We start from the raw sequence: 26939 nt of genomic DNA on the forward strand, positions 1-26939 counted from the left end.
AGGAAAGAATCGAAGACTCAGATAGAATCATGCAATAGATGAGCTTACCAGAGTGTGTGTGAAGGGGCAACTCTGTATATTGGGATTTGGGAGTTTCAGAGCATAGGTACTGACAGTTGATTCCATGAAATTCTGGTCTTTGCAGAGCCAAATAAATCTAGTATGGGATTTCCCAGTTTGATTGCCGCTGTGGTCCTGAGTTTTGTCTAGGCGGTCGTAAGGCACTCCCCAAGACATAGGAGGATCTATAAGTTTAGTAACCATACTATCATCTGTTAAACAGAGTCACACAATGCAAGAAAATTCTCCTAACCAAGAAGTCTATATTTGATAATATGCAGGAATACCTTATGCTTGTATTAAGACTAGAATCTGGCAGCTAATAAATACATTTTCTTAACCATCAACATTATGACGTTGTTTGTAGCCAAGAGTGTTAAAACTGAGGGCATCATGTTAGGAGTACGGATCATTTTACAAGTCGTGAATCAAATTTGTATGACAGGTTTAGTTTATGCATCATATTTCTTGGAGATATACTTGAGGAAAAAATATACAATGTGAAAGCCAATGTGAAAAATGTGTATCATTTTCAGGACCACCTATAAAGTGTAAAAGTGAATATCATCTTTGCTGTGAACTTAAAATTGCTCTAAATCATAAAGTCTATTTTAAAAAGCAAAAATCAACAAAATTATACAATAGAATTCAAAAGCTACAAATTTTTTTTCTTTAAGATACTGGTAATATTTTGTTTCCTGATCAGGTACTGCTTACAGAACATTCATGTGGGGAAAATTCATTGGGCTCTGCCCTTTGGATATAAATGCCTTTCTGTATGTACACTTTCCTTCAATGAAAAGCTTTTTATAGTTTGAAAGAATGAATAAGACCTACTATGTGATAGCACAACAGGGTGACTACAGTCAGTAATAATTTAATTGTACATTTTAAAACAACTAAAAGAAGGTAATTGGATTGTTTGCAACTCAAAGGATAAATGCTTGAAAGGATGGATACCCCATTCTCCATGATGTGCTTATTTCACATTGCATGCCTGTATCAAAACATCTCATGTGCCTCATAAATGTATATACCTACTAAGTACCCACAAAATTAAAAATAAAAAAATTAAATAAGTGAATATCATCAACAATAGAAAGTTGCTTAAACTTATCATCATATTTCGTGGACAAGAATATAAGAAAAAGACACAGCTGGGTCCTTCTCAGTGTAAATAAGATGCTGAAGGCTGACTATTGTTTTAAAGATAACCTATATCCCAAATCAGCAAAATCCTAAACACCAGGGTCCTCATCAAGAATAGAAATGAACTACAGCATTGAAGATGCTGCCTCTTTAGTAAAATAACCAATAGCGCACCAGAGAAAATCAAATGTTTACTATTTAAAATTTAAAAAAACATTTTTGTTCAGTTATCTTTGTATTTTTTTCAAGCCAAGGCATAGAAATCCTTAGCTCATTTTTAAATATACATCCAGAAATTCCCATTCATGTTAAGGGATTCAGTGCCATATGTAGGAAAATCATATAATAGAAACCAGCTTTTCCTGGAAGTGAATTAAACACTTGGAAATAATTTCAGAGTTTATGACAACTTCCAGTAGCACCTAATTTAGAGCCAGATCTATGTTTATTAGAAAAAGCTGTCTCAAGATAGAAAGAAAAAGAAAGTGTGTGGATGTCTGTGTGCATGTGTGCCAGCATATAGTTCTATGGATGGAGTTAGGAAGAGTGGCTGCGCTGGTCAGAGAAGAAAATGGGATCTGAGAAGTCAAAAGGAGGAAAAATGGAAAATAAGTGTTCATAGGAATTTAGAGGAAAATAAGAAGAGAAATAAGCTACTTTTCTAAAGAAAAATTTGAAGACCTGATTTGGAGGCACATATTTACTGGTTCACCTGTTACACTGGCCCCTAATATTTTGCAGTTTGGGGTACTTCCTAAGACTGGCATTTACTGAAGCAGAAATGTTTCCATGGCATTGGAAACCTTTAAACATTACTGTTAGGAATTTAGTATCTTAATAAACAATATTATCTCTATATCATAGCAAAAGTTAGTAATTCATTTTTATGAAATAGGTGTTATTTTTTCAAGCCTAAATAAAATCCCTCAACTTCCCATCCTGGTGAGTCCTGCCTGACCAGTGAGAGCTTACCTTGACAAGCAATGATTCACAACATGTTATACAACGAAGGTCAAGAAAACACAGTTTCAGAAGAAATGAACAGGTATAAGCAGTGGGATATTAAGGATGTTAGTAATCAAGACAGAAAAGAGAACTGAGGTGAATATTTTGCCTGTCACAGAGGATTGAAATATAAAACACAGAGACTGGTTGCCTAATTATCAGAAGGCAGTTTTCCACTGATCTTTCCTAAGCTTTTCGTATTTTTAATTTTGAAGTGGCTAGATTTACAAATGAACAGAAAATTTCATTCTAAGAGCCTAACTTTATATCTACAAGATAGCCAACTAGTAAATCAAGAAACTGCAAGTATGAACTGAAAAATGGGTGTGAAAATTGATTCTTAAGTATTTGTTTAAGTTTACTTGCATATCTGATGGAGATTTGAGTATTACAGGATGATATTATAAAACAAAACTTAAATAGTACATATGTTTGAAATTTAATATTCTACTGTAAGAATAGCATATCAGAGATTAAAGTGATCTTACTGAAGACTTTTCTACACTCAGTACTTTGTCAAGAACTTCAGGTGATTAGGAAAAAATGTGTGACATGGACAAGCAACAGGAGCGGGCCACAGTTAACAGTGCAAACGATGTTAGACTATGGTGTGAAACCAATGGAGAGCATTTGAGTTTTTCCTTTGGATGTGGAATGTAAGTACAGAAACTATTCAGAATCAAGATATATTAGCGTCAAGAAAAATTTCAAGGAAGACAGGTAACCTAACTTGTTTCCTAAGGTATGATTAGAATTTAAGACAGGTGCATTCAAGGGACCGGGATGAACAAAATAGTAGGCATGAGGGAAACATGGCCTCCCCAAGGGACTGCCAACAGAAATACACAGCTATGGCAGAGGGTGTGTGTAGAAGAGGAATATTATATACAGTTATGTTTAGGTTTGATTCTGATTTCTAAAGAACTAAAAACCAACTTGATGCAAGGGGTGTTGAGGGCTGCATTTATTATCACAGAACTATTATAGATTGCTAAAGAAGGCATATAACAAACTAGTATTTTCAGAAGATCTTTCTGGAGGTGGTATGCAGCCTGCATTATAGGAAAAGTACCTTCTGTTAGGGAGATGAGCCAAGAGATTTTGACTCTAATCTAGTCAAGAGGTGCTAAGAGCTTGCACTAGGGCTGCGAATGTGGAGACAAAACCTCAAATCTGAGAGAGATATTTTAAGTAGGAAATGACAAGACTCAGTGACAGGTTGTGTACAAGAGATAAAGGTAAAAGACAAGAGTAAAAAAAATTGACTTCAAACTTTTTTTCCAGTGACTGGAAGCATGACAATACCAGGTCTGATAGAATGAGAGAGTTGTAGTAACAGTCTTTGGGAATAAAAATCAGTCAGTTGGGCTTAGGATTTAGTGAGATTCAGGACCACAGGATTCTGGATGTTTTTTTGAGTGCATGCAGGTGCTGTTCTGACTCAGACTGGACAACTATCCATCCTTCTACAGGAGAGAGAGAAATGACGTAAGTGTTCTTCATGGAGTGCCCTCTGGAAAACCAGGGATTGGTTTATGTGCACCCAAATGTATTTATGTATTTCATAATACCCACAAATATAATTGTTACTTACTAAGCACTTAATATGTATGAGGTCTTGTCCTAAACATATCTACAGAGAATTTTTTGCCCCTTTAATCCTCATAATAATCTAATAACTTAGGTATCATTAACTCCATTTGACACATTAGGAAATTTGTCTAAACTGGTTACATAAATGGCCCAAGATGGCACAACTAGTAAGTGAGGAGACGATCTTAAGAATCTGGTTGGTCTGAGTTGCAACAGTCAAATCATTTCCAAAAGTCATATATAAAAGGAAGTAATGGCTTTTGGACAAACCCTGAAAGAAAGCCAAGCATCATTCTTTCTGTTTCTCTCTACAATATATTCTTCACGGAACCCGAATTTCAGATAGGCCTTTCTGAAGCCAGCACTGGCAGTGCCATATCCCATTACTCCCATAACTTCTGCTAGCTCTTTGTTATGTCCATAGTACTTTCTGGAAAGTGTAAGAGCAAAAGAAAGTACATTCAGTTGTTTAAAGGCAAGCAGTAGTAGTAGATACTCATCAGTCAAGAGCAGATCAATTTTATGCTGAAATTTTCATGCAATGGTTCAATAGAAAACTATAAATACTACTAAATACATAAATGTTCTGAGGTAAATATATCCTGTTTAACCAAGGCACAAAATCAATAATTAAGTAAATGTGTCCCTAAAATTGCTTAAAATTAAAAATCCGGAACTGGATGGAGGCTGAAGTGACTTTTGAGAAACTGATAGAGTCTCCTGGATATATGATAACTTTTTAAAAATTTGCACAAGTTGTGTTTTATGAACTTAATACCCATAAGACCCCTAAAGCTCATTGTTTATAGAAAATAAGGCTGAGGATGGATAAAAGTCTCAGGACTTTAGAGAGTTTAGTAAGAGGGCAGCCTTTTTTTTTCTTTCTGACTCTGCCTTAACTCCACCAGAGATCCCTGGTTAGCCTTGTTTCCTAAATAGAGCTTTGAGATTGATTAATTGACTTATTTATTAATAATTTTGAACTTGGGGATTTAAGACATTTGCTGTTTATGTTGTGCTTTGCCATAATGACAAACAAAATCACATTCAGCTATTCAATGGTATTTAGTGTAAGAATAAAATGTTAAGGGTATATTGTCTTATCTGATTTGAGACATATGATATTTAGATTTTTAAAAGTACAGTCTATTGAAAAGTGATATCCTTTTTCCTGTAAAAGAAACTGCCTCTTTTCCTGTAAGGCTAGGGTCAGGATCAAGACCAAAGAAAAATGAATAACTTGTGAATGGTAGGGCTAGGTGTGGATTCTGAAGTACCAGATAAGAAGAACCATTAAAACAAAAAGGAAAACAATGAGAAAAACAAAAAGCAAAACCATGAGGAAAACAAAATGGAATATAATACAAGGAAAGGAAGAATTTTAAGATGCTTTGTGTACCAGTAAGAGACCACTAGCAATGGTAACTTTGAGGACAGTGGTTCTCATGACTGGAAAGGGTAGAAGACAGACTTCATGGAGATTAAATAGAGAAAGAATGAGAGGATTCAAATACAGAAAATTCTAACAGCTTTGAAAGCTTTTCCATTAGAAAAGGCAGCAATGCATGTTTTTAGAGGGTTCAAACTGAGTACACACTTAAAAACATTGATTTTTTAAGAACTAAAAAAGAAAATATGAATAATAAACCTAAGACAATAAGTTTGTAATTTATGAAGAATAGGTAAACAATTGGAGATACAAAGAAGAAATTATTTCTAATATTATCTAATCTCAGCTTATGTTAAAGTTAAGATATAACCAGTGAAATATTCACTATATGAAAAAAATAAGAGGAAGCTCCCTGCAAGGTCTGAAACAAAAATGACATATGTTTGTAAATGCTTAGCAAAAAAAAAAACTGGTTTTTAAAAATCTACATGAATGTTTTTAAAAATGAAGTAGTTATGATCTTCTTAAAACTGGGAATTCAATGTTTGAGTAATTCATGTGTAAAATTTGAATCATCGTTAGACATTTTATTATACTAACCAAACACTTTTAAAAAACTATCTTTCATAATGAGAAAATTTCAAATGTAAACATAATTTAACTAATAGCTGAAAATGATTGCAGAAAATGTATTCATTTAAAGGAAAGTACTTAATTGTATTTTTGAAAAGTAAGTCAGTTGTTTTTCTCATCATTCTGTATGAGTGTGCATGTGTGTGTGAGTGTGTGTGTATGTGTGTGTGTGAGAGAGAGAGAAAAAGAGAGCATTTAAGAGAATTGTTTAAGCCCTGGGTTGAGGGTGGGGCACTTGGGGACACAGTGGAGACAGTTATTTACTTAACTGATTCAGTGCCTCCTACTGTTTTATTTTGACAAAAGTAAAAACTTTAGTCCTGTAACACGAATACTCACTCTAAGCTGGGAAACAAAACCTCAGCCCCATAAATATTTTGTACTACATTATCAAAAATAGCTATTATTGAAAATGTGTGATTCTAATTAACTTACAGAAATTACACATATAACTGTAGAAGTACCATCTAACAACTGCATTCATTCCAAAAATTTTTTCAAGCTAGATTTGACAGTCATTCAAACCAGGTGAAATTCCCAAGTGTCCCAGAAAAGACCAATTTATCTCTTCTTACTTAATTGTGAACACCATCAAGACAAGCATTTACATCAGTCTCTCTTATACCCCAATGCATGATTTAACTGAAAGAGGAAGGCAACAATATGTTGGAAGAAGCGTAAGATGAATTTTTAGATGCATCAAGACCTGAATAAAACACGGTCTACTTGCCCTTCTATCTAGTCACGTGGTCAAGGACAATCTGCTTAACTTTTTTGGTCTTAGTCTTCACTATGTACTTAAATCATTGAAGCTCATTGTTCATTTTTCTAACCCTTTTAAGCCCATAGATTTTATGACTAAAATAAGTTTACAATAAGCAAACCAGAAAACCCTTATTAAACAGGGTTGTGGAGTAAAGGGAGAGCTGAGTTCTACCCAAACAGTATCCTATTCTTATTGCTTACTCCTAGCCATGGCCTCTGATTACCTTCCTGGGAACCTCTAACACTCCATGGAACACAGTTTAAAAACCATACCATGGTATCATCTCTTAGATTGTCACCAGCTCTAAAATTCAGGACTCTATGGGGACAAATCTGACCCTGAGCCTATCTCTTTGCAAACAAGCTGAAATGAGAAGTTTCCATGGTTTTATGCTTACACTCAGTTTCAGGAAGCCCTTCTAGGGTAGGACTTTCAGAGAGTATGATATACACGTCTTCAGTGTGGGTGAATGCTGGGATTTGTTTTCCAATTTTTACTCACTGTGATCTGACACCAAACACAATGCAGTCCTGTCAGGCCCTGGTAACATTTAACAGTTTTGTGGCACTTATCACACTTGGTTGGGCAGTTACCTTCAACCCAGTAATGGTGCATGACCTAGAACAGAATGACAACATTGTGATAAGAGGACACACTACATAATGGCCACCTTCAGAAAGCAAGCATGCACACAAACTTACATCAGTGTTCCTTTTGGACTTCACATAGGTCTTGATGCAAGAGGGAGGTGCTCGAGCCACACAGCGCTCATGGACTGTGTACTTGCAGACTGAAAGGAAACAGGTACACAAATTCAGAGCTAATCCTGGTCCTGGTTGTAATTTTATAGAGAAAGAATGACATTAACAGAACCTCATTTCATATCCACTGCTCCCTAATCAATCCAATCAGCCACATCAAGGAGAAGTCCAAGTCGACTGTTTTTACCATGGAATATAAAAGGCCAATTAGTACAGGAAATATTATGCATGTGAAAAACCAAGGCTCCTCTATCATGGCATAGCAGGAAATGCTTAATTAAATCAGTCCTCACTCAAATTTTTCACAATAATTCCCAGATGACAAAAATATTAAAGACAAATTGATGACTGCCAAATGGCTTGGTGTCATTTGCTAGAAGGAAGAGATCTATATTTTACAAAGTATAGGCATGAGAGCAGCTGGCGGGTATGGGAATAAAAGCCCATGAGTTTATGTTATTTTGTCTCTTATCTAAATCTTAAATGGCTGATTAGTCTATTTCCAGAGAAGAGATTTCATCATACATGCCAGGCCTTTGGTGAAAATTCATCCTTCACTTGCCATCATGGCATCGTTTGTCCAAAAGCAACAGCCTTTGCTGGGCGGCATATTGTATACATATGGAAAAATTTATGTCACTATGCAAATGTATACCTACACATAAGCAAATATATGTATCTATGTATATATATAATACGTGTCAGAAAACCAAGACATACATTTTTGGCATCTTCAAATTCTTTATGGTTTGAGTCTGAATATGATTTAGGGTCAACTACATGTGTTCTTTTAATAAAATGTTGGTTCCAGATTAAGGGTTCTAAATGCATAAATATATAAAACAGTACTTAAAAATAAACATATAGCCTCCTCAATAAAAACAAAAGCAAAAAACTAACCACTGCCTCAAATTAAAATGAAAAACACTAAATCTAAATAATATTTATATAGTAAAACTCTCCCAAAATATTCATATCTGTGATTTTCTTTGGCAACATTGAGGGAGAAAACATGTTTTCTCTTCTCCTCCGTATTAAAAATAATATTGAATATTGCATTCACCACACTAATCAGTAAAAACTTATGAGCAAAATTCTCATTCCTCATATAATATCACTCATCTTATTTGAGACTTATCATTTTGTTTTATGTGTTCTTGTTAACAGACTGTACCATAAAAATTCCTTTTCTTAAATATAATAGAACTTTAAAAACAAAGTACTTCCTTTGTATAGGGAGAATGTTCTAGTGTAACTAACATGTAACTAAACTTTCAAACGTAGCTGTCAGAGACTATGTTACACATGGCAAATTTCAGGTAACTTTATTAAAATTCGTAAATAGTTCAGAAATCATATGCATATGTGGCATTAAAACATGGTATTAAATTTCAAGTAACACAGCTGAGAGAAAGGAAATTCTCAAACATATTACCAAAGAAGCTGCTAGCTAACGACAAACAAACAAACAAACAAAAAACCTATAAACCATGGATGGTATTGGAAGCCAGTAAGAAATTAGATTTAATGAAATGCACAACAATGGAATGTATCTAATGAACTTGACAGTTTCAGTAATTCTGTACAAGCTGAAAAGGTTGGGGAGAGATAAATTGATGGATTAATGGAGAACTTAAATGAAGGGGTTATAATATCTACCCTTTTTTATCAGGACTATCATGGATTGTAAAATTTTCTCAGGTAGATATGCTGTAGATTTAAAATTACTTAGGTGATTTTATAAACTAACTGTTATATACACTATAAGAACATTCTAATTGGCAGACCTGAGTTAACAGAATAAAATGAAAATTGCAAAGATGGGTGAACTGAAATTTTTAAAATGGCCACGACTCATTAATCATCAATGCTCTGCATTCCAATGTCTATTAACCATATATGAAGATTTTCTTTCTGTTAGCATTGAAAATAATAGGCTTGAGGTGTAAAATTAGTTCGTATATCTTGCGATTTCCTAATTTTAATGCAAATCTATTTTTAATCAATTAATGTAACTTAAACAAAATACCCAAAGGAATCAACTCATTATAAGATGTTCATGTGAATAAAGTCACTAACATGTGGGGAGGGGGGGATGAATATGAATAAGATGTAAGTATGAAAAACTAGTGGAAATATTCAAAATAATCCCTGAAGAAATGGGAAACATGAATAAATTAAACTACAGTGGAAAGAAAATTGCTGAAGACTTGGAAAATGTCCTTCATTTTTTTCCAACGGTAGGTTTTTCCAAAACTGAAGAAATTAGAGTAACCTAAATATTCAAAAACACACTACAGGAAAATATAAATCACATGTACAGAGACAGTCCAGATCAGATCTTAGGTCTCCATTTACAAATAAGACTATTCCATGAAATCAACCTTTCCTCACTTGAGGAGATGATGTCCAGGCAGAGCAAATGTACTCACAGGAACAGCAGAGGCCCTGCTTCCCCACGCCAATCAGCATGTTCAGGCAAAGGTTGCAATAGGCAGGTTTGTTAAAGTGCTTCAGTCGCCACACGTGCTGTCCATCATCCTTCACGTTCTGCATGGGACGTAAGAGAAACAGATTTCACTTAATGAAATAAACAGTGAAAGATGTAAGTGCCAATGAAATTCAGAGCTGGACTGAAGCATGTGAAGACAATCTGTTATTTCATCCCTGACTTTCTCCAAGATCACCGCAGAGCCTTTAGAAAAACACATGTGCTCCAGTGAAATGAGATAGTGCTAACAAATCACCGATGCTATAGCAACCCACAAATCCTTGTCTAATATTAACAGCTCAACAGCGTACCCCAAGCCATCGTCATGACCTGCCAAATGGATCAGGGACGTGATTGCCTCTTCTTTAAATACTTTATCCTTAGCACAATTCCATAAACAAATAAATAAATAAAGAGAAAGAGAAAATACCCTTCAGTGGAACAGCCTGACAAAGAAAAACCTGCAAAGACGTCATTAACCCTTGCTTACTAGTAGTAATATACAAAATTCATGATGGTGATCAGGTCATGTAAGGTGGCAGAGGAATGGGATGGGATGGAAAACTAATACTAAAAGGTAAGTTATTGGTGACATACTAGGGCTTCATTCGAGGAGTCCTTATACTATATTCCAATTTATATTAATACATTGAGTATGCCACAAATAGTATATTTTAAAAGGCAAACTTTTTAAAGGATTTCATTATGTTACCATTTTGTTTACCCCCTTATAAAATATAAGTAGTTTTAATCTCACAGAAAGATGGTAAAAATATTAAAACTGTATTAATATTTTTATTTATAACAATCACTATGGTTATTTGCCACAATACAACCTTGGGTTTAAATTAATTCCCACTTTAGCAAAACACTTTATTTTTTTCTCTTCTCAGTAAAACTCTCTATATCATAATAGCTACTCCTGTAGGTATTTAATCACAGCTGCATTGTTCAAGATTAAAATAAAATGAAATAATATGATGCTTAGGAATTTCTTGAACTCCTTACAAGAAGGTCAAGATATTAAATGAAATTATTATATATTATTACTTTTGCTACCATCATTTTCTCCATTAACATGTACTGTTTGTAGTCTAATCATCAAATTATATCAAACAGATTAACATTTATTGGTATTCTATTGAAAACATTATTTGCCATAACTTTCCAGGTTGTCCAAGTTGTCATATTTCTTGGAACACATTCACCTAATAATTTCTGAGCATGTTTTAAGTGCTTGGGCATTAACGTTACTCCTGTGGTAGTGAGGCAATATAAATATATTCAGATCATCTTGTTTCTCTTGATAATAAAATATTAATAATAATGCTCCTAACTACCTTTCCTATTCCCAGTCAAGGGATAAACCACCAGATTTGTAATACTAGAGAAAATCTACAGTAACTAATTCTTACATTAGAACCAGAAATGTCAAATTTGCCTCACAACATGAAACATTAATGAAATGCTTCCTGGGCGATAATTCTTGGTGGGTCTCTTGAATTTCTTCATGTTTTGCAAACAGAAGCACTGTCCTTTCTTTTTCTTTCTTTCTTTTTTTTCTTCTTAAGACTATCTTTTCAAAGATGTTTGAGTAACAAACAGCCTAGCCTTGGACAATAGAGACATGTCTCCCTCCAGAGGAGAGGGCCAGTTTGCTTACTATACTTACAGTATAATAAAAATAATCACTCCCTTGTAGGCAAAGGTGAAATGGGCTTGTTTCCTACACATTATAATTCATTTAGTTTTCTTAAGTCAGGGTTTCCAAAACGTGATGCTGTGCACAATCATCAATTGGGTCCCACTCTGTCGTTCCCATGAGATTTTGGAGGCAAGGTGAACTCAAACGTGAAGCTCCTGTTGCTCTCTTTGTTGTGAATAACAAAGTCTATTGTCTCTGACTCAGGAGTCTCATGTCCTCTGGCAGCATCCATAAAACTGTGGCAAGCTAATACATTAACTTCCAATAGGGTAAATTTTGGACCCTTTACAATTCTTGACATTGCTCAGATTTACCTTTCTGACAAGGGGCTAACAAAGTCTCAACAAATACAGCTACGCAGGTGTCATACAGAAAACTTCAGAAAACACAGGTGTTTTAATTTTCTTTCAAAACCTAAGAAATAGGCTTTGTATTAATTTCTGAATTTCCTATTTTGGTTTCGGTGAGTCATAGATTTCTAGTAGCTTTATCACGTGAATAGAATACTTTATATATTTAACTTTGCTATATTTTCAAAACTGCCTACATTTTAAAATTTATATCCCCTCAAATAATATTTAAACATCCTTATGTGGAAAGGTTAAATATGGGGTTGTTAATTTTTAAAAAACTAAATTAATATTTAAAAAATTAAAAGTAGTAGCTAAGTGCTTAAAAACATTTTTAAATAAAAAGGACAAAAAGCTAATTTTCGTATATATTACTGTTCTTGTAATTCTTGTCGTTTTATTTTTAAATGATTGTCCATTACATGTGAATAAGCTTCATCCTTTGAAGAGCACATATGGAGTAAGTTAGCTGGCATTTTCCTTATCAAAAAATAAACAAGTCTGAACGTGGGTGTTCTGTCAATCAGAACACTTAGCCGTGTTACAGGCTGCAACTGATGTACAAATCCATTACCCAGGCATAAAATGCTTTACCAAAAAACAAATTAAATGGCTTTATAGCTCTTAGCTGGATACATTGCCAAAATATGCAAGGGATGAAATATGTATGTGACTTCTTTAAGAGAAGAAATTGAAACCAGGAGCCAATTACTTCTCAGCAGTGCAAATTATACTCCAACTCTCTATTTTCATGTCTTGTCTTGTTTATCTTACTTAGATCGTAAACTTAATGGGGGAGGGAAAGAATCTGTCCCTTCTTTCTATCAGCCAGTAGAGCACATTCCTATTAGTCCTTCCACTGCAAATATATATTTATTGTCAAAAAAGGGAATTTATTTTTTATAAAACAAAAATAAGCAGGGCATCCAGAAAGGCTTGATTCCTAGCCTACTATGAAAATGTGAATAAGCCATTTCACCTTTCTTCCTATTTCTTCCTATTTTCCTCTCGAATGAAAGGAAAATACCCACTTCCCTTTTCCAGGCCGTGGTGTGAGGTTTCATTATACAACACCTGTGAAGTTAATTTGGTTTCTCAGAAGACGGGTGTTATATAAACAGCAAATATTATCACCCTCATTGGGTTGTGTTGTGTAACATCCCAATTTTTCAGTCAAAATAATTGAGAAAGATACCTAAAATTTCACTTTATTTCATTAAAATGTGCTCTTTTTTCATCACCAGACATAACACTGTGTATTGTAATGAAGCTGTTCAGGTCCGTGTTTATGACAGATAAATGCTTAATGAATCCTAGGCTACTCCATGCTGAGAAGGAACTTTACATTTTCCCCAACTCTTAGTTGCCTACAAGGCAAAGGGATGTTTCAAAGGAAATAATGCTCTTCAGAACTTTTAAAACCTATTATCCTAGTGATTCTAAAGTTTTAGTTTTTCCATAAATAAAAATCATTATCCTAGTGATTCTAAAGTTTTAGTTTTTCCATAAATAAAAATCTTTATCCTAGTGATTCTAAAGTTTTAGTTTTTCCATAAATACTTCCAAGATCACATAAAATGTTCAAGTGAACTAGGGCTACTATAAATAATTTTTTTTCAGAAGACCTCAAGGAGAAATTTCATTGATGTCCTAACCCACATGCTTCTCTCCCCACACCTAGTTATGTTTCAACTGACTTAACTTATATAGAGAGAGAGAGGAGCTAATGTTACAAATAATTACTTCCAACTCATTAAATAACAAAGAACATTAAATTACCTTACTTTTTGTCCAAGGTCTCCAAAAAAAAAATTATGACAATGTGACAGAAACTCCTCTTATTTTTTTTTTTTTTTTTTTTTTTTTGAGAGGAGTCTCGCTCTGTCGCCCAGGCTGGAGGGCAGTGGCGCGATCTCGGCTCACTGCAAGCTCCGCCTCCCGGGTTCGTGCCATTCTCCTGCCTTCACCCACTGCGCCCGGCTAATTTTTTGTATTTTTAGTAGAGACGGGGTTTCACCGTGTTAGCCAGGATGGTATCACCTGACCTCGTGATCCGCCCGCCTCGGCCTCCCAAAGTGCTGGGATTACAGGCGTGAGCCACCGCGCCCGGCCGAAACTTCTCTTTTAGACAAAAAGATGAGCTCTATTAGGCCTGGGCAAAGAGAATGCAGAGAAAAGTTTTAAAATTCTGAGTGGAGCTGTCATCAACTGTTCATCTCCAGACCACACATTGTAAGGTCACCTGTCATTCCTGAGGCTCAAATGCAAAATCAACAGCAGGTTACACCACGTAGTCATTTTTCTTAAATGACACAATCTGGAATCTCAAGAATTTTTGCATTCATCTAGTTTTGTAACTGCTTTCTACATTGAGCAAAGTATAGACAGCAGAACAAAAACTCTTAACCAAATTAAAAACTTTTAAAAATCGATGTGCTGAACATCAGCTCCCAAAATATAATACATAGTCTTCTATTCTCCATCACTCAGGAATTTCATCAGAGAACACACTGCATATTACTTTACTGAGAGTCAAGAAAAAAATGTGTCTTAAACAATCTCAGTCAAAGGCAAAGTTTAAATGACCTATAAGAATTGAAGACCAGGATTTTTGGCACACATATAGTGAGACCAAAGTATAAACCATCCAGAAACCATGCAGGCTAGATGTGGGTACAACAATCCACAATAACAAGTTAAGGTATCGCTATTTCAAGCTAGTCTACTGCTTAAATGTACATTTCTCTTTTCCCTATAATATAAATTCAGGAATTTTCCTTGAAAAAATTAAATGACGATCCAAAGTTAGAGATTTCAGAAATTGAAGCCTTATTAATTATCTTGTTCATGCAGGAAAAGGAAATGTTCAAACTGAAAGAGTATTAGGAAACACTAACTTCTCTTCTTGGCTAACTTCTCGTTTTTCCGGAGACAGCAACTGCCTGGTATAAAAATGACCTAGTTAGTTAATAACAGAGCTAAGGTCTGTTATCTGATCAATTTGATGACGTTCACTGCTCCTATGCTTTCTGTCTATTAGTCCTCATGTCTTGCTGTGGTTGTCCGATTGTGCCAAGTAAAAGGTATTAGATTCCTTTCTTCCAAATGAATTAAAATAAATTAAAACTTTTTCTGTTTTTTAATCTGAGAAATGAGTGATAGAACAGATCAGCGGTTGGCAAACTATGGCACTGAGTCAAACCTGGCCAGCAACCTGTTTTTGCACATGCAGTTTTATTAAAACATAGCTTTTGTGGTTCATTTACATAATTTCTGCGATTGCATTTGTGCTGGAACAGCAGAGTTTAGCAGTTAAGGCGGAGACCTTATGGCCCCATAGCCAAAATTACTTAATATCTCTCCCTCTGCAGACAGTTTCCAATCACTGGAACAGAGTTTACCTCTATATAAAGTTATTCAACAAAAAAAGTGTTTTAATTACATTGGATTTTTTTAAAAAACAATTCTCCAATGAGATGAATTCTGAAGGAAGAATGAATAAGTCTCAGGTATAAATTTTCATTGTGGTAATCAGAATCACAAAGCCATCCAAATTCTCAATTTTCCTTCAAATCTAAGAGACACTAACACTCTATACCATTTCTGACCCATTCATCTTGTATTTTGTAAAGTTTGTAGAGCCTCTTGTAAGAGAAAAGATATGGCTCTTGCTCTCTGCTATTTGGTATAGAATCTGGTCCCCATCAACTCCATTTCTGATTTTGGTACCAAAATAGATATTCTTTAAAATAGACTAGTTTTTAAACTGCTGTTGCTGGAGAAAAATAAATTGCATTGAAATCGTAAATGTTGTGCCTTACATTAGAAGTGAAGATTACTCTCCCAGGACTACTTCCTTTTCTGTGTAATTTGACTAGGACACCACAGTCACTTTCAAATACACTGTGGTATTTTACATGCACCATCAATTAGAACCTACTCCCCGAGCTCATAATTGACAATAGACAATAACATATAGGACAACCTAACAAGACAAGCTTCACAACAAATGGCCAACTTCAAACTGCAGTATCTAGATTTTCAATTAAATAAGCAAAGGTGAGGGGATAGATTCATGGATCAAATTCTCTACAGGTAATAATGTAACACATTAACTGCCTACAGAAAGGAAATAAATCTCAATTGCTAAAAAAGGTTCTCATCACTCAGTTGTCTTGGTGTCATTCTTGCTTTTTAAAACAATTACCATGCCTTAGAATTCAACAGCTCTTTCTAACAAATAGATGCTGTATTTTGTGATCATTACACATGATTATATGGCTTATACATTTTATTAAAAGACAGCTTAAAATGTAGGTGGCTTACTTTTTTCACAAAAATGAAAGAAAAGGGAAATTTCTTCTTTTAAAGTTGTTCTTTACAGAGATGGGGTGGGGGGCGGAATTTAGTCTCAGATTTAAGGTGGTCTCTTGAGATTAAATAAGGTGCCTCTGCCATCTAGCGGCCGTCACTGGTAACACAACTCTGGAACACAGCTCTGATAGCTATAATAAAACCTTAGATTTCTCCTATTTAGCTCCAGACACTCCCTTTTACTAAAAACATAAAAAATAAGTTTACAAATACTATTAAAAAGTAAATTATGTACAGTTAATAGAGTGCACATTAAATGCATAGAATTGCCTTACAATTGAAATAATACTACACTAGAAACTAATGAGGTATTATATTGGTTTAAAATACTTTGAGTTAAATCATATAGATTTGTGGACTCTATTACCTGTGATAATTTTTATAACTTCACAAATATCTATATTTATAAATTAAATAATAAATAATATATCAGCAGTAGTTTCCAAAAAAAATCATCATTTCAAAAAATCTCTTGTGACATTTAAAATACGGGCAACTGACTGTCCCTTTCTGCACTTTTCTATCTCACCCTCGACTACCAGATGATTTACTTGCTCATTCCTGCATCTTCCCTCCTTCTCTCATCCTAGAATTTACATAGATGCTTAGAATATACAAAGTTTAGCTTTACAAACATAAAATGTCCTTCTCGGGAATCATTATTATTGGAATTTCCTGACTAAAGTTATCTGACAATTTTTCAGGATAAAGTATACATTAAACCTTAAAATGTCAACATTTTGTCAATTTTTCTTTTGTTTTCTCCCAGTAGTCTGATTTACATAATGGTTTTTGTCATAAGGTACATGAACAATTAAATAAATATTGATAATATAGAGCTAAATATGGTATTATAAAAAAATACTCAGTTATGTGTAGTATAAGAAATTCAGGTACAAGAAAATACTATTTCACAAAATTTTTAAGTGTAGAACTACATACTTATTAACAATAATATATATATTATATTTTGTTTAAATAAATTAGTTTAAGGGTAACTTTCCATATATCACTTATTAGTATTTTATTGTTTTCCATCCTCTGACCATGTCTTGGATCCCATGGGCCTCATGAAAGGTAAGCTTCAACTGAGTTTAGAAGAAATTTGAAGACCCAGGTAAAAAAGAAAACAAATAGTAATCTCTTGAAACCTATTATTTTTTCCTAAACTTATACATATTCCTTAACCCTCAGCTCATTTGTATATTCCTAAAGCCCATTTATATATTCCTAAACCCATATGTGCCAACATATTTTTATATATACTCATATGTTTCACAAACACAGACAGTAAGTTATCTTGAGAAATGACTTTTAAAAATTTGGTGTCTTGAATAACTATGATATAGTCTTGAATCTGTAAAAATATTTCAGCTGGTAATAAGAAGTATGAAGAGTTTTGGGTTTGGCAGCAAAGTGGTGAATACTATGGTCTTACACCTTAAAACTCTAAATATTACAATTTCATTGTTCTTTCCACCCCTAATGTTCTTTGAAATTAAGTAGACATGTTATTCTATACATAGTATATCTAATTATTGCATAACTATTAATGCTGAATTTAAAAATCTGGCATACACTATAGATTTCATCAGATTTTTAGAATAAAAATAACTGAAATCTGCTTCAAGTCTGGGTCAGCAAGATTTGCTTTCAAAGTCATTATTATATTACATTCTCATCTTAGGTTGATTTATTTTATTCCTTCACAATGGTATTTAATTGCAACTAGAGGAACTACTCCAAGAAAACTTTTGACAGGCGATAGAATAAGAACCTGGCTCCTGCTGATACAGGAAAAACTTACGTTTATTTAAGTTGGTGCAAAAGTCATTGCGTTTTCTGCCATTAAAGGTAATGGCAGAAAACGCAATGACTTTTGGCACCACTAATCTTTAAACCACTGGAGATATTTAACTGCCTCCTCCAAGTATCAGTTTTCAATAAAATAGATTACCTTTATAGGTAGGAGGAACATTGAAATAATGAAGCACCAAAAGAACTGCAAAATACAATAATACTGGAGAGCCTCTTGCTTTAGATAATATGAGGAGGTCAGTAACTTAAAAACACTAGATTGCACCTTCAACAGAGGAAAACAAAAGAGAGAGAATATATTTTTAATCCTGAAGTAATACCTGGAGTGAATCAATATGTGTGTGGCAAGTATTACTACACAAGGAGTTACTGTCAAATTGCACCGTGGCATACTTATTAAAAGTTCCAGGCACTCACTGCATGCTTAATGGTAGAAAATGGTCACATCAATCTGTAATCAAAATGTGTAATAGAGAGCCCCACTGACTCACCACCAGGCCACCCTCCTCTGTGGAAATGCTTACATTTTCTAAGCCCAGGAGCACAAGAAGTGGAATCGTTGTCATTCCTCCTTGAATCCATTCCTCCAGAGACACGGTTCCATCATGATCATAGTCAATTTCTTCCATCATTTCATGGAGGATCTGGAGTAGAGGAGATAAGGGAAAATTGGTGGTCAACCAATAAAATAAATTTCATAGGCTACAACATATGAAATTGTGACTAACAGCTAAGTGGAGAGTTGGGATAACTGTCTTGCTAACTCAGTACAACATTAATTCTATTACTGATGAAGAGCGACTTTGTTAGCATTTCTAAACCTGGCCACTTAACACTGATCACTTTTTAGAAATAAGTGCTTAACTTTTCAATATTTTTCCCATGAACAGCACAGCTAAAACAAGAAGAATCTTTAATAAGTGTGAAAGTGGTCTTTAATTACTTTCTTCATATTATTTTTTAGATTCATATATATGCCAGAAAATGTCTGAACAAATTAACTTCATGGCAAAGAGCTCATATAATTCTTTGCTAAGTAGTAAGGGGCGAAGGAATTTAGTTGCTTTTAATTGCCTATCAGAATTTAATAGAGTCGAGAAGTTAAAGGATCAAATCAAGTTTAATTAAACTTCGTTTCTAAAGATGACTTGCACGTAATGTCTTAAAATGTTCTCTGCAGTGTTTGTTTGCAATACATTTACCTCTCTGTGGTATGGTGGCAATATCAGTACTTACCTAGAAGGGCTGTTGTGAGGATTAAATAAGCTAACGTATTATAAGCAGACGAGCCCCTGGCATACAGAGTCAGAGTCATATAGTGTTGTTTGTGCTATTATTAATGGAAATTATATATAAGTTCCAAACATATTACCCTTGGTTGCTGGGAAAGCAAAGTACTTCCCATCTAATGGCGTCAAGATGGCAAACATGGTAAGAATTCTAATGAAGAAAGGAACTCACGTCTTTATATAATACAAAAATGTTAATCAATTTGGAAAAAAGAGAAATGCAGAGAGCATTGGAACAGAGATTGGAAAAGATGCAATGCATGAAATATTTGATTTGTTGGTAGAAGTATTGTCTGCCTAGACACTCTTGTGCTTGGTGTCTTCACTCAGGAAGTATTGTATTTGAAAATTAGATTATTTTTCTCCTCTTGCCTCTCAAGAGCTTGCTGATGAATTAGTAGAAATGTATCAATCATAAGAGAAATAAAACAATGACATTTGTTTCAGATGGGTGATGCTTTCCTTTTTGTACCTAATAAATCTCATGTTAAAGCCATCCTCTGACCGTGTCTCAAATCCCATGGGCCTCATAAAAAAATAAGATTGAACTGAGTGTAGAGCCTGAGTTAATTTGATAAAAACTTCTAGGGACGCTCCAGTCTTCCCTACTACTATTGTAATCAACCTCAAATGTTCATTTCTCTCTCTCTCTCTCTTTTTTTTTTTTTTTTTTTTTTTGAGATGGAGTCTCACTCTGTCGCCCAGGCTGGAGTGCTGTGGCGCAATCTGGGCTCATAGCAAGCTCCGCCTCCTGGGTTCACGCCATTCTCCTGCCTCAGCCTCCCGAGTAGCTGGGACTACAGGCGTCCGCCACTACGCCCGGCTGATTTTTTTTGTGTGTGTATTTTTAGTAGACACAGGGTTTCACCATGTTAGCCAGGTTGGCCTCAATCTCCTGACCTCATGATCCACCTGCCTCGGCCTCCCAAAGTGCTCGGATTACAGGCTTGAGCCACCGAGCCCGGCCCATTTCTCTTTATTTATATATGCAAACCTATGAGAAGCCTGCTGATGTGTACATTTGTTTACAATGAGAACTACTGAAGCCTTAGGCAAGATGACAAGGCAGTTCCCATGACAGCAGACATAATGTACAACTTTGTACCATTTCAGCTCCCTGGAATAGTAGCAGACTTATCAGTAACACACATGTCAAATAATGCTATAGTTTATTACTTGTATTCTCCATTCAATAATCTGACAAATACACTAGGTATTTGTTGTAGAAAGACTACTCAGCCACCAGCTTTCCCCTTCCTCCTAGCATCCTGATGTCCTTTTTCTCAAATCTACAAACACACCCCCCAACACACACACCAAAAATGCTTTTGTTGAGAAGTGTTAGTGCCCGCTGTTTAGAAACCTGAATGGAGGCCGGGCGCGGTGGCTCACGCCTGTAATCCCAGCACTTTGGGAGGCCGAGGCGGGTGGATCAGGAGGTCAGGAGATCGAGACCATCCTGGCTAACACGGTGAAACCCCGTCTCTACTAAAAATACAAAAAAAATTAGCCGGGCGCGGTGGCGGGCGCCTGTAGTCCCAGCTACTCGGGAGGCTGAGGCAGGAGAATGGAGTGAACCCGGGAGGCGGAGCTTGCAGTGAGCCGAGATTGCGCCACTGCAGTCCGCAGTCCGGCCTGGGCGACAGAGCGAGACTCCGTCTCAAAAAAAAAAAAAAAAAAAAAAAAAAAAAAAAGAAACCTGAATGGAAAAACAAATCCCCCTCCCACTCTCCATCTAATAACAAGCTGGCTTGATTGACAGATGACTAATCTGCACAGGTAGAAAGGTGAGTAGGAGAGGAGAAAGCTGTTGTCGATTACAAGGGCAACAGAAATAATCAGAAATTCCTGGCTTTCAGTGAAAATATTAAGGTGAGTCAAACAATAAATTAAATACATGTTACCATCTACTTTATTATTCCACATACAAATGACAACCTGTTAATGACATCTGCCACTCACTAGAAGCACAGCATATGCATTTCCCAATAGCTGCTTTAAAACTGGAAAAATCCTAATCCCAGTAAGACAGGAAAATGCTATCAGAGTTCTTGCAGCATATACTCATGCCATTATCCTGTTGTTTACCGCATAGATGTGAACAGAGGTTAAATATACACTTCTTGAATTTGCATAAAATGTAAAATCATTTAAATAAAATTTATTTGCATTGCTTTATTCATATACACTTTGCTAAAGGTTTTAAAAATAATATAAACTCAATATCTCTTATCAACTTTCCCCAAAATATTTTTTGTGGCCAAAGTTATGGTTTCAAGTCAAGTATATTTTAATATGTATTTTAATAATGTTGAAATTTTGATGTTTATTCAAAATAAGAATTCTATATTCTTAAAAGCATTTTTAGATACTCTTTCTCTAAACAATTTAATTAAAAATTCCTGACTAGCTGAAGAGCTTTGGGCAAGTAATTTTAACATATTTGGGTCTCAATTTACTTCTCTGCAAAAGGGAAAAAAAATAGTGTATCTACCTCAGAGAGTTGAAAGCAATATATAACATATACACAAGGTAACATGATGCACTGTGCATGGAAAACTACCATCTTCTTTTATGGCATGGCATGGCCTTGGCAGTGTCTATCAGGACCTTCTGCTTATCCACATGTATGTAAGACCACCATTCAAAATAACTTCCACGAGGAAGAAAGCAAAAGTTACTGTTAACAGCTTCAGAACCCCACATATACCTTGTTATCTTATTCAGAATCCACTTTGACTTCTGATTAGAAATAGTAACTTAGTTATCAAAAGATAAAATGAAATGACAGGAATATATCAGGGTCCCAGACAAGAGAAAAAAAAAGAAAAAGAAAGAAAAGAAAAGGAAGGAAGGAAGGAAGGAAGGAAAGAAAGAAAAGGAAGGAAGGAAAGAAAGAAGGAGGAAAGAAAGAAAGAAAGAAAGAAAGAAACAAAGAGAAAGAAAGAAAGGAAGGAAGGAAGAAAGAGAAAGAAAGGAAAGGAGAGAGAGAGAAGGAAGGAAGGGAGAGAGAGAAGGAAGGAAGGAAGGTAGGAGGGAGGGAGGGGAGAAAGAAAGAGAAAGAGAGAAGGAAGGAAGAGAGAGAAAGAAAGAGGGAGAGAAACAGAAAGGGAGATAGAAGGAAGGAAAGAAAGAAAGAAAGAGAGAGAGAAAGAAAAAAAGAAAGAAAGAAAGAAAGAGAAAGAAAGAAAGAAAGAAAAGAAAGAAAGAGGCCTTCCAGAATTTAGCCAATAGTGAAATCATTCATATACCTACTGGATTAAGTTCAGTGACATCCCACTCAAGGTATTCTGCAACATGCATCATCTGACTGATGATATTTTCTAGCTCCTGGAAGAGAAAGAGAGATAAAAAATATGAATACAAGATCTTAGTGAGTTTTAAATCTTTCACTTGCAGAAATTGTTTTGTTCAATGTGTAGCTAAAAAAGTTAAATGAGTTCTATGGGAATATATATATGTACATAATCCTTTTTAAAGGTCTAATTAACTATATAAAGAAAAAAGAATCCTGAATATAAATTTATCTTGTACATTGTCTAGAAATTTTCACCAGGAGAGGGCACAACTTTACAAAAAATACATTTTCTTCTACTAAAAGAGAGTGTCTGAAGAAAGCAGGACCAAATACATACTGTCACATGTGATTTTTAAGACACTGAATTCCCTGAACCTTTGGCTTGAAAATAGATGTGAAAGGGTGGACAAATCATTTGAGGACAACTGAGAAGTCTATTTTTATCTTGATACACTGAGAATATACATTGACTGTTTTAGTCATGTATTGAATAATTTGCTCTTGAAAGAAGAGTGTTCAGGGCCAAGGTTTGCAGGACAAGTATATGCAGCATTTATTTTGTGAGAGGATGAAATTTTAGTTTGAATTTCCATATTATTCTGCTCAATTATCAACTCTTTGAAGAATTGCAAGTTAATACAGATGACCTGGCTAAATTAATTAAAACATTTTCCTGCCTATTTATCTAATGTTTTAATTTTTCTCTACCTACAGAAAAGATTAAACATGGCTTTGTGAAATGCTTGTAATTTCACATGAAAACATTACATAATTTGAAAAGTGGTGTTTTACCGTATGATTTAAAATGTAAGAAGTATAAAAGAATAAAGCTTGAAAGTGCAATAGTCAAAGAGTATTCTACTCAAATCTCTAATCTAATATATGTAGTCGATGTTCATGGAATAGAGAAGAAATACGATAAAACAGATTCTCTTTTGGGAAGCCGTGTTTCCCTCCGAGGAACTAATGAAAGCTATACTCCCTCTCTCCAGAAAAAAAAAATATAATTATGAATATGTTACTTAAGTAAGACAGGCTGCCCCAGAAGTAATACAAAGATAAATGTATTTATTACAGATTAACAAATTTTAAAACATAAATCCCTTTGAATTATAGGTTAAAAGTGTGCATGTGTATGCACACATGCATTACTAATCTCTCACCTACTCCATCTTTGCTTACATATGCCTTAATGGTTTGGAAGTGTTAAAGTTCCCGGATATCTTTTAAGAACAGAAACTATTTTTGGTGGACTGTTACGTAGGCATGTGATATTAGGTAAGCCACCCCACCTAAGACTCAGTTTTCTCGTTGGTAAAATAGCTACTCTAACTTTACCTCCTTCATAGAATTGCTTCAAAGGTTAAACATGTTATTATACAAAAGGCATTTATTTTGTTGTTTGCCGTATTGCAAATGATCAACAAATCTTAACTATTATTATTAGAAATAGTGGACAATTTTCAAATTATCATTTTCTTTCTGTTTTGCCTCCAGTAGGTGAACTGCTACACCTTAAAGGTACCAAGACACATGATGTCAGAAGGTACAATTTAAACCTGACAGCGAAGGAAAAATATTGGAGTAGTAGCTATTGTGGAGAAAACCCTAGAAATGAAATCCAGGCCTTTAATTACAAAAAAATAGAGACTAGTTTAATCAAAACTAAATATATTTATCCCCAACTCATTGTTTAATATTGGGACTATAGTTCTAAATATTGCTAGTAGTCTACTGTATATGCTAACAAAAAATGGGCAGAGACAAAAAAAAAAAGGACTATTTGACTGAATTTTCAAATCAACTGCCAACCCATGGCTAAAGCCTAGTAAAGAATCATCATTTTAATTTAATTAAAAAAGAAACATTAAATAAAACAACTCTCCTTGAAAATAGAATTTGCATTAGTGTAGTCACAAGTGCTATACTAAGCATATTAAAGTATCTAGAAGAAATTAAAATTTCTAGTCGTGAAATGGCACCATAAAATGAGCAAATTTATTATGTAGCTTGGTATTTCTAATGGGAAACTGAAGACCACTAGGCACTTAAAAATAATAGCATTTGAAAAAAAATTTTTTTTTTTTTTTTTTTGAGATGGAGTCTTGCTCTCTCGCCCAGGCTGGAGTGCAGTGGCACGATCTCGGCTCACTGCAACCTCCGCCTCCCGGGTTCAAGCGGTTCTCCTGCCTCAGCCTCCCAAGTAGCTGGGATTACAGGTGCCCACTACCACGCCTCGATAATTTTTGTATTTTTAGTAGAGACGGGGTTTCACCATGTTGGCCAGCTGGTCTCAAACTCCTGACTTCAGGTGATCGCCTGCCCGTCTTGGCATCCCAAAATGCTGGGATTACAGGCATAAGCCACCACACCCAGCCAGCATTTGAAAAATTACTGAGACTTACAGATAATAAATCCCACAATCACAGCATCAATTCAGAGTGATGGTCATTTCCTAGAGTAGGAGTTATATATTTTAATCTCTCTCTGGAGAAGCTAATGTACCATTATCCTACTCAAAGTTACATAAATAGGCTTCCAACCTCATTGCTTTGCTTTTAAAAGTCTATTTTAGCTGCCATAGGGTGGTCTATCAGATGACGAGAAAAACTCACTCATTTTCAGAGATCATGTCTATTTCAGTCATTATTAAATATATCAAAACATTTGTTTTTAATAATATTAAATACATTAAAAATGGTACACTTCAAAATTTCCAAATGACACTTATTCTATTAATATTCTTATATTTCCTTGATAGAACAAGAAATAATATAATATGCAAAATATGTTACCAAACATAAGGTAGATTATTGGATAGAACCTGAGATGGAATTTCATGCATGGTACTGATCTGTGCACTAAGACTAAGAACTACTTTCTATTTCTCTGAAAGCTAGCAATGATTTCCATATATTACAAATAAACGTTTAATTATTCCCTTCAGTTAATCATATAAAGATGGTATTTTCTTATTTTTTATGACTATAACTATACAATGTAAAATGAATATTAAACTGGATGAGATATTTTAAAAGCAAAGTTTGTGAAAGCAATCTGTAAATACATTTACCTATTTCAGCCGCATATAGGACAAAAGATACCATGTAAAACTGGGAAAATAATGAGATAATTAAACTGACTTTATACATCCTTAAAATTCTACTTATAGTCTCAAGTTTCCTTAATGCCAAATGTTACAGATAGTTTTTCCCTCATTCTAAATCAATGGTTTCAACTTAATCTTATGTTTTATTCAGACAAGGCTGGTGCCTTTCTTTTTTTTACCTAACTTCAGTGCAGGAAAAATAAAATTAAAAAAGTCATGCTGTGGTATGCAAAACTATTCAGTAGAACAATTGTAATCCCAACAGTTTCCTCAGATCACTCTCTCGCAAAAAGTCAAAAAGATAAAAATGCCATATGAGTGGATGTAAATTACATTAAGTGTGCCTTCTGTGGTAATAACTACAAATTTATTCATTGCATTCTTCAGAAGAAAATCTTTGAAGTTTTCACAGAAACTTTGAAGAAAAAAATTACCGAGCTGTCCAGGAAGCCATTCCCATCCGTGTCATAAAGGCGAAACATAACTAGAATGAAAGAGGTGTTGAAAACAAGATTATAGGCAAATAAGATCAATGTTAGTTTAAAGTATATTCATTAAAATTTAGTTTGTGTTGAAAACAAATACTAAATTCCTCTCCTGCTCCAAACAATTAATTTGTGGGATTATTTCTCAAACTAAATTGAAAATGAATTAATTAGTTAATAGAAATACTGGATAGCATAAAGTCTATCAAATTTTGTTTGTTTCTAGAAGACACTAAAAAGTACTATTATTTGTTTAAACTCTTTATTACAAGATCATTAAATGTCAACTCAAAACTAAAAGAGAAGAAGTTGAAATATTCAAAGCCTGGGTATTAAAGAGCAGAGTGCATAAGGAAAAACAACAAATGTGAAATTTAGAAATCAACTATAATTTGAAATCCACTATTCACAATTATAAGAGCTTGGTCAAAAACTTTTCTTTATCTGTAAAGTGAGAATAATCATTCTACCATAACACATATTAACTGTGAAAGTTAAGGGAGGTGATAGACACAAAAGTGAATGTAAGCCATAGATCATGATACAAATAGATGCCATTGTTAGGATTGATCCCCAAGCAGTATGGGCGAGGAAGGCGGAGTGCAAAATAACAGGTTCTTTCTGATGGAGGAAGCCAGCACAGAAAAACTGCATTATGATCAT

At 34.5% G+C, this 26939-nt stretch overlaps 1 protein-coding gene across 26 annotated transcripts in view; it reads right to left on the reverse strand.

Annotated features, from left to right (window-relative positions):
• Positions 1–26939, reverse strand: part of DGKB (diacylglycerol kinase beta) — an 829810-nt gene that overhangs the window by 530407 nt on the left and 272464 nt on the right. For 25 of the 26 annotated variants that reach the window (XR_001744571.2, NM_001350722.2, NM_001350711.2 and 22 more), the window contains 6 exons: positions 26226–26275; positions 22640–22714; positions 18620–18739; positions 9790–9907; positions 7298–7386; positions 7098–7214 (listed from right to left, as the gene is read on the reverse strand). Coding sequence is in view for 25 of the 26 variants with exons in the window: in NM_001350722.2 (NP_001337651.1) it covers positions 7098–7214; positions 7298–7386; positions 9790–9907; positions 18620–18739; positions 22640–22714; positions 26226–26275 (569 nt within the window). In the remaining variant the exon portion in view is untranslated. The remainder of the gene's footprint in view (positions 1–7097; positions 7215–7297; positions 7387–9789; positions 9908–18619; positions 18740–22639; positions 22715–26225; positions 26276–26939) is intronic. The other variant, XM_047419929.1, reaches the window with a different exon arrangement.

This window comes from Homo sapiens, chromosome 7, assembly GCF_000001405.40.
Source record: "Homo sapiens chromosome 7, GRCh38.p14 Primary Assembly".
Classification (NCBI taxonomy): domain Eukaryota; kingdom Metazoa; phylum Chordata; class Mammalia; order Primates; family Hominidae; genus Homo; species Homo sapiens.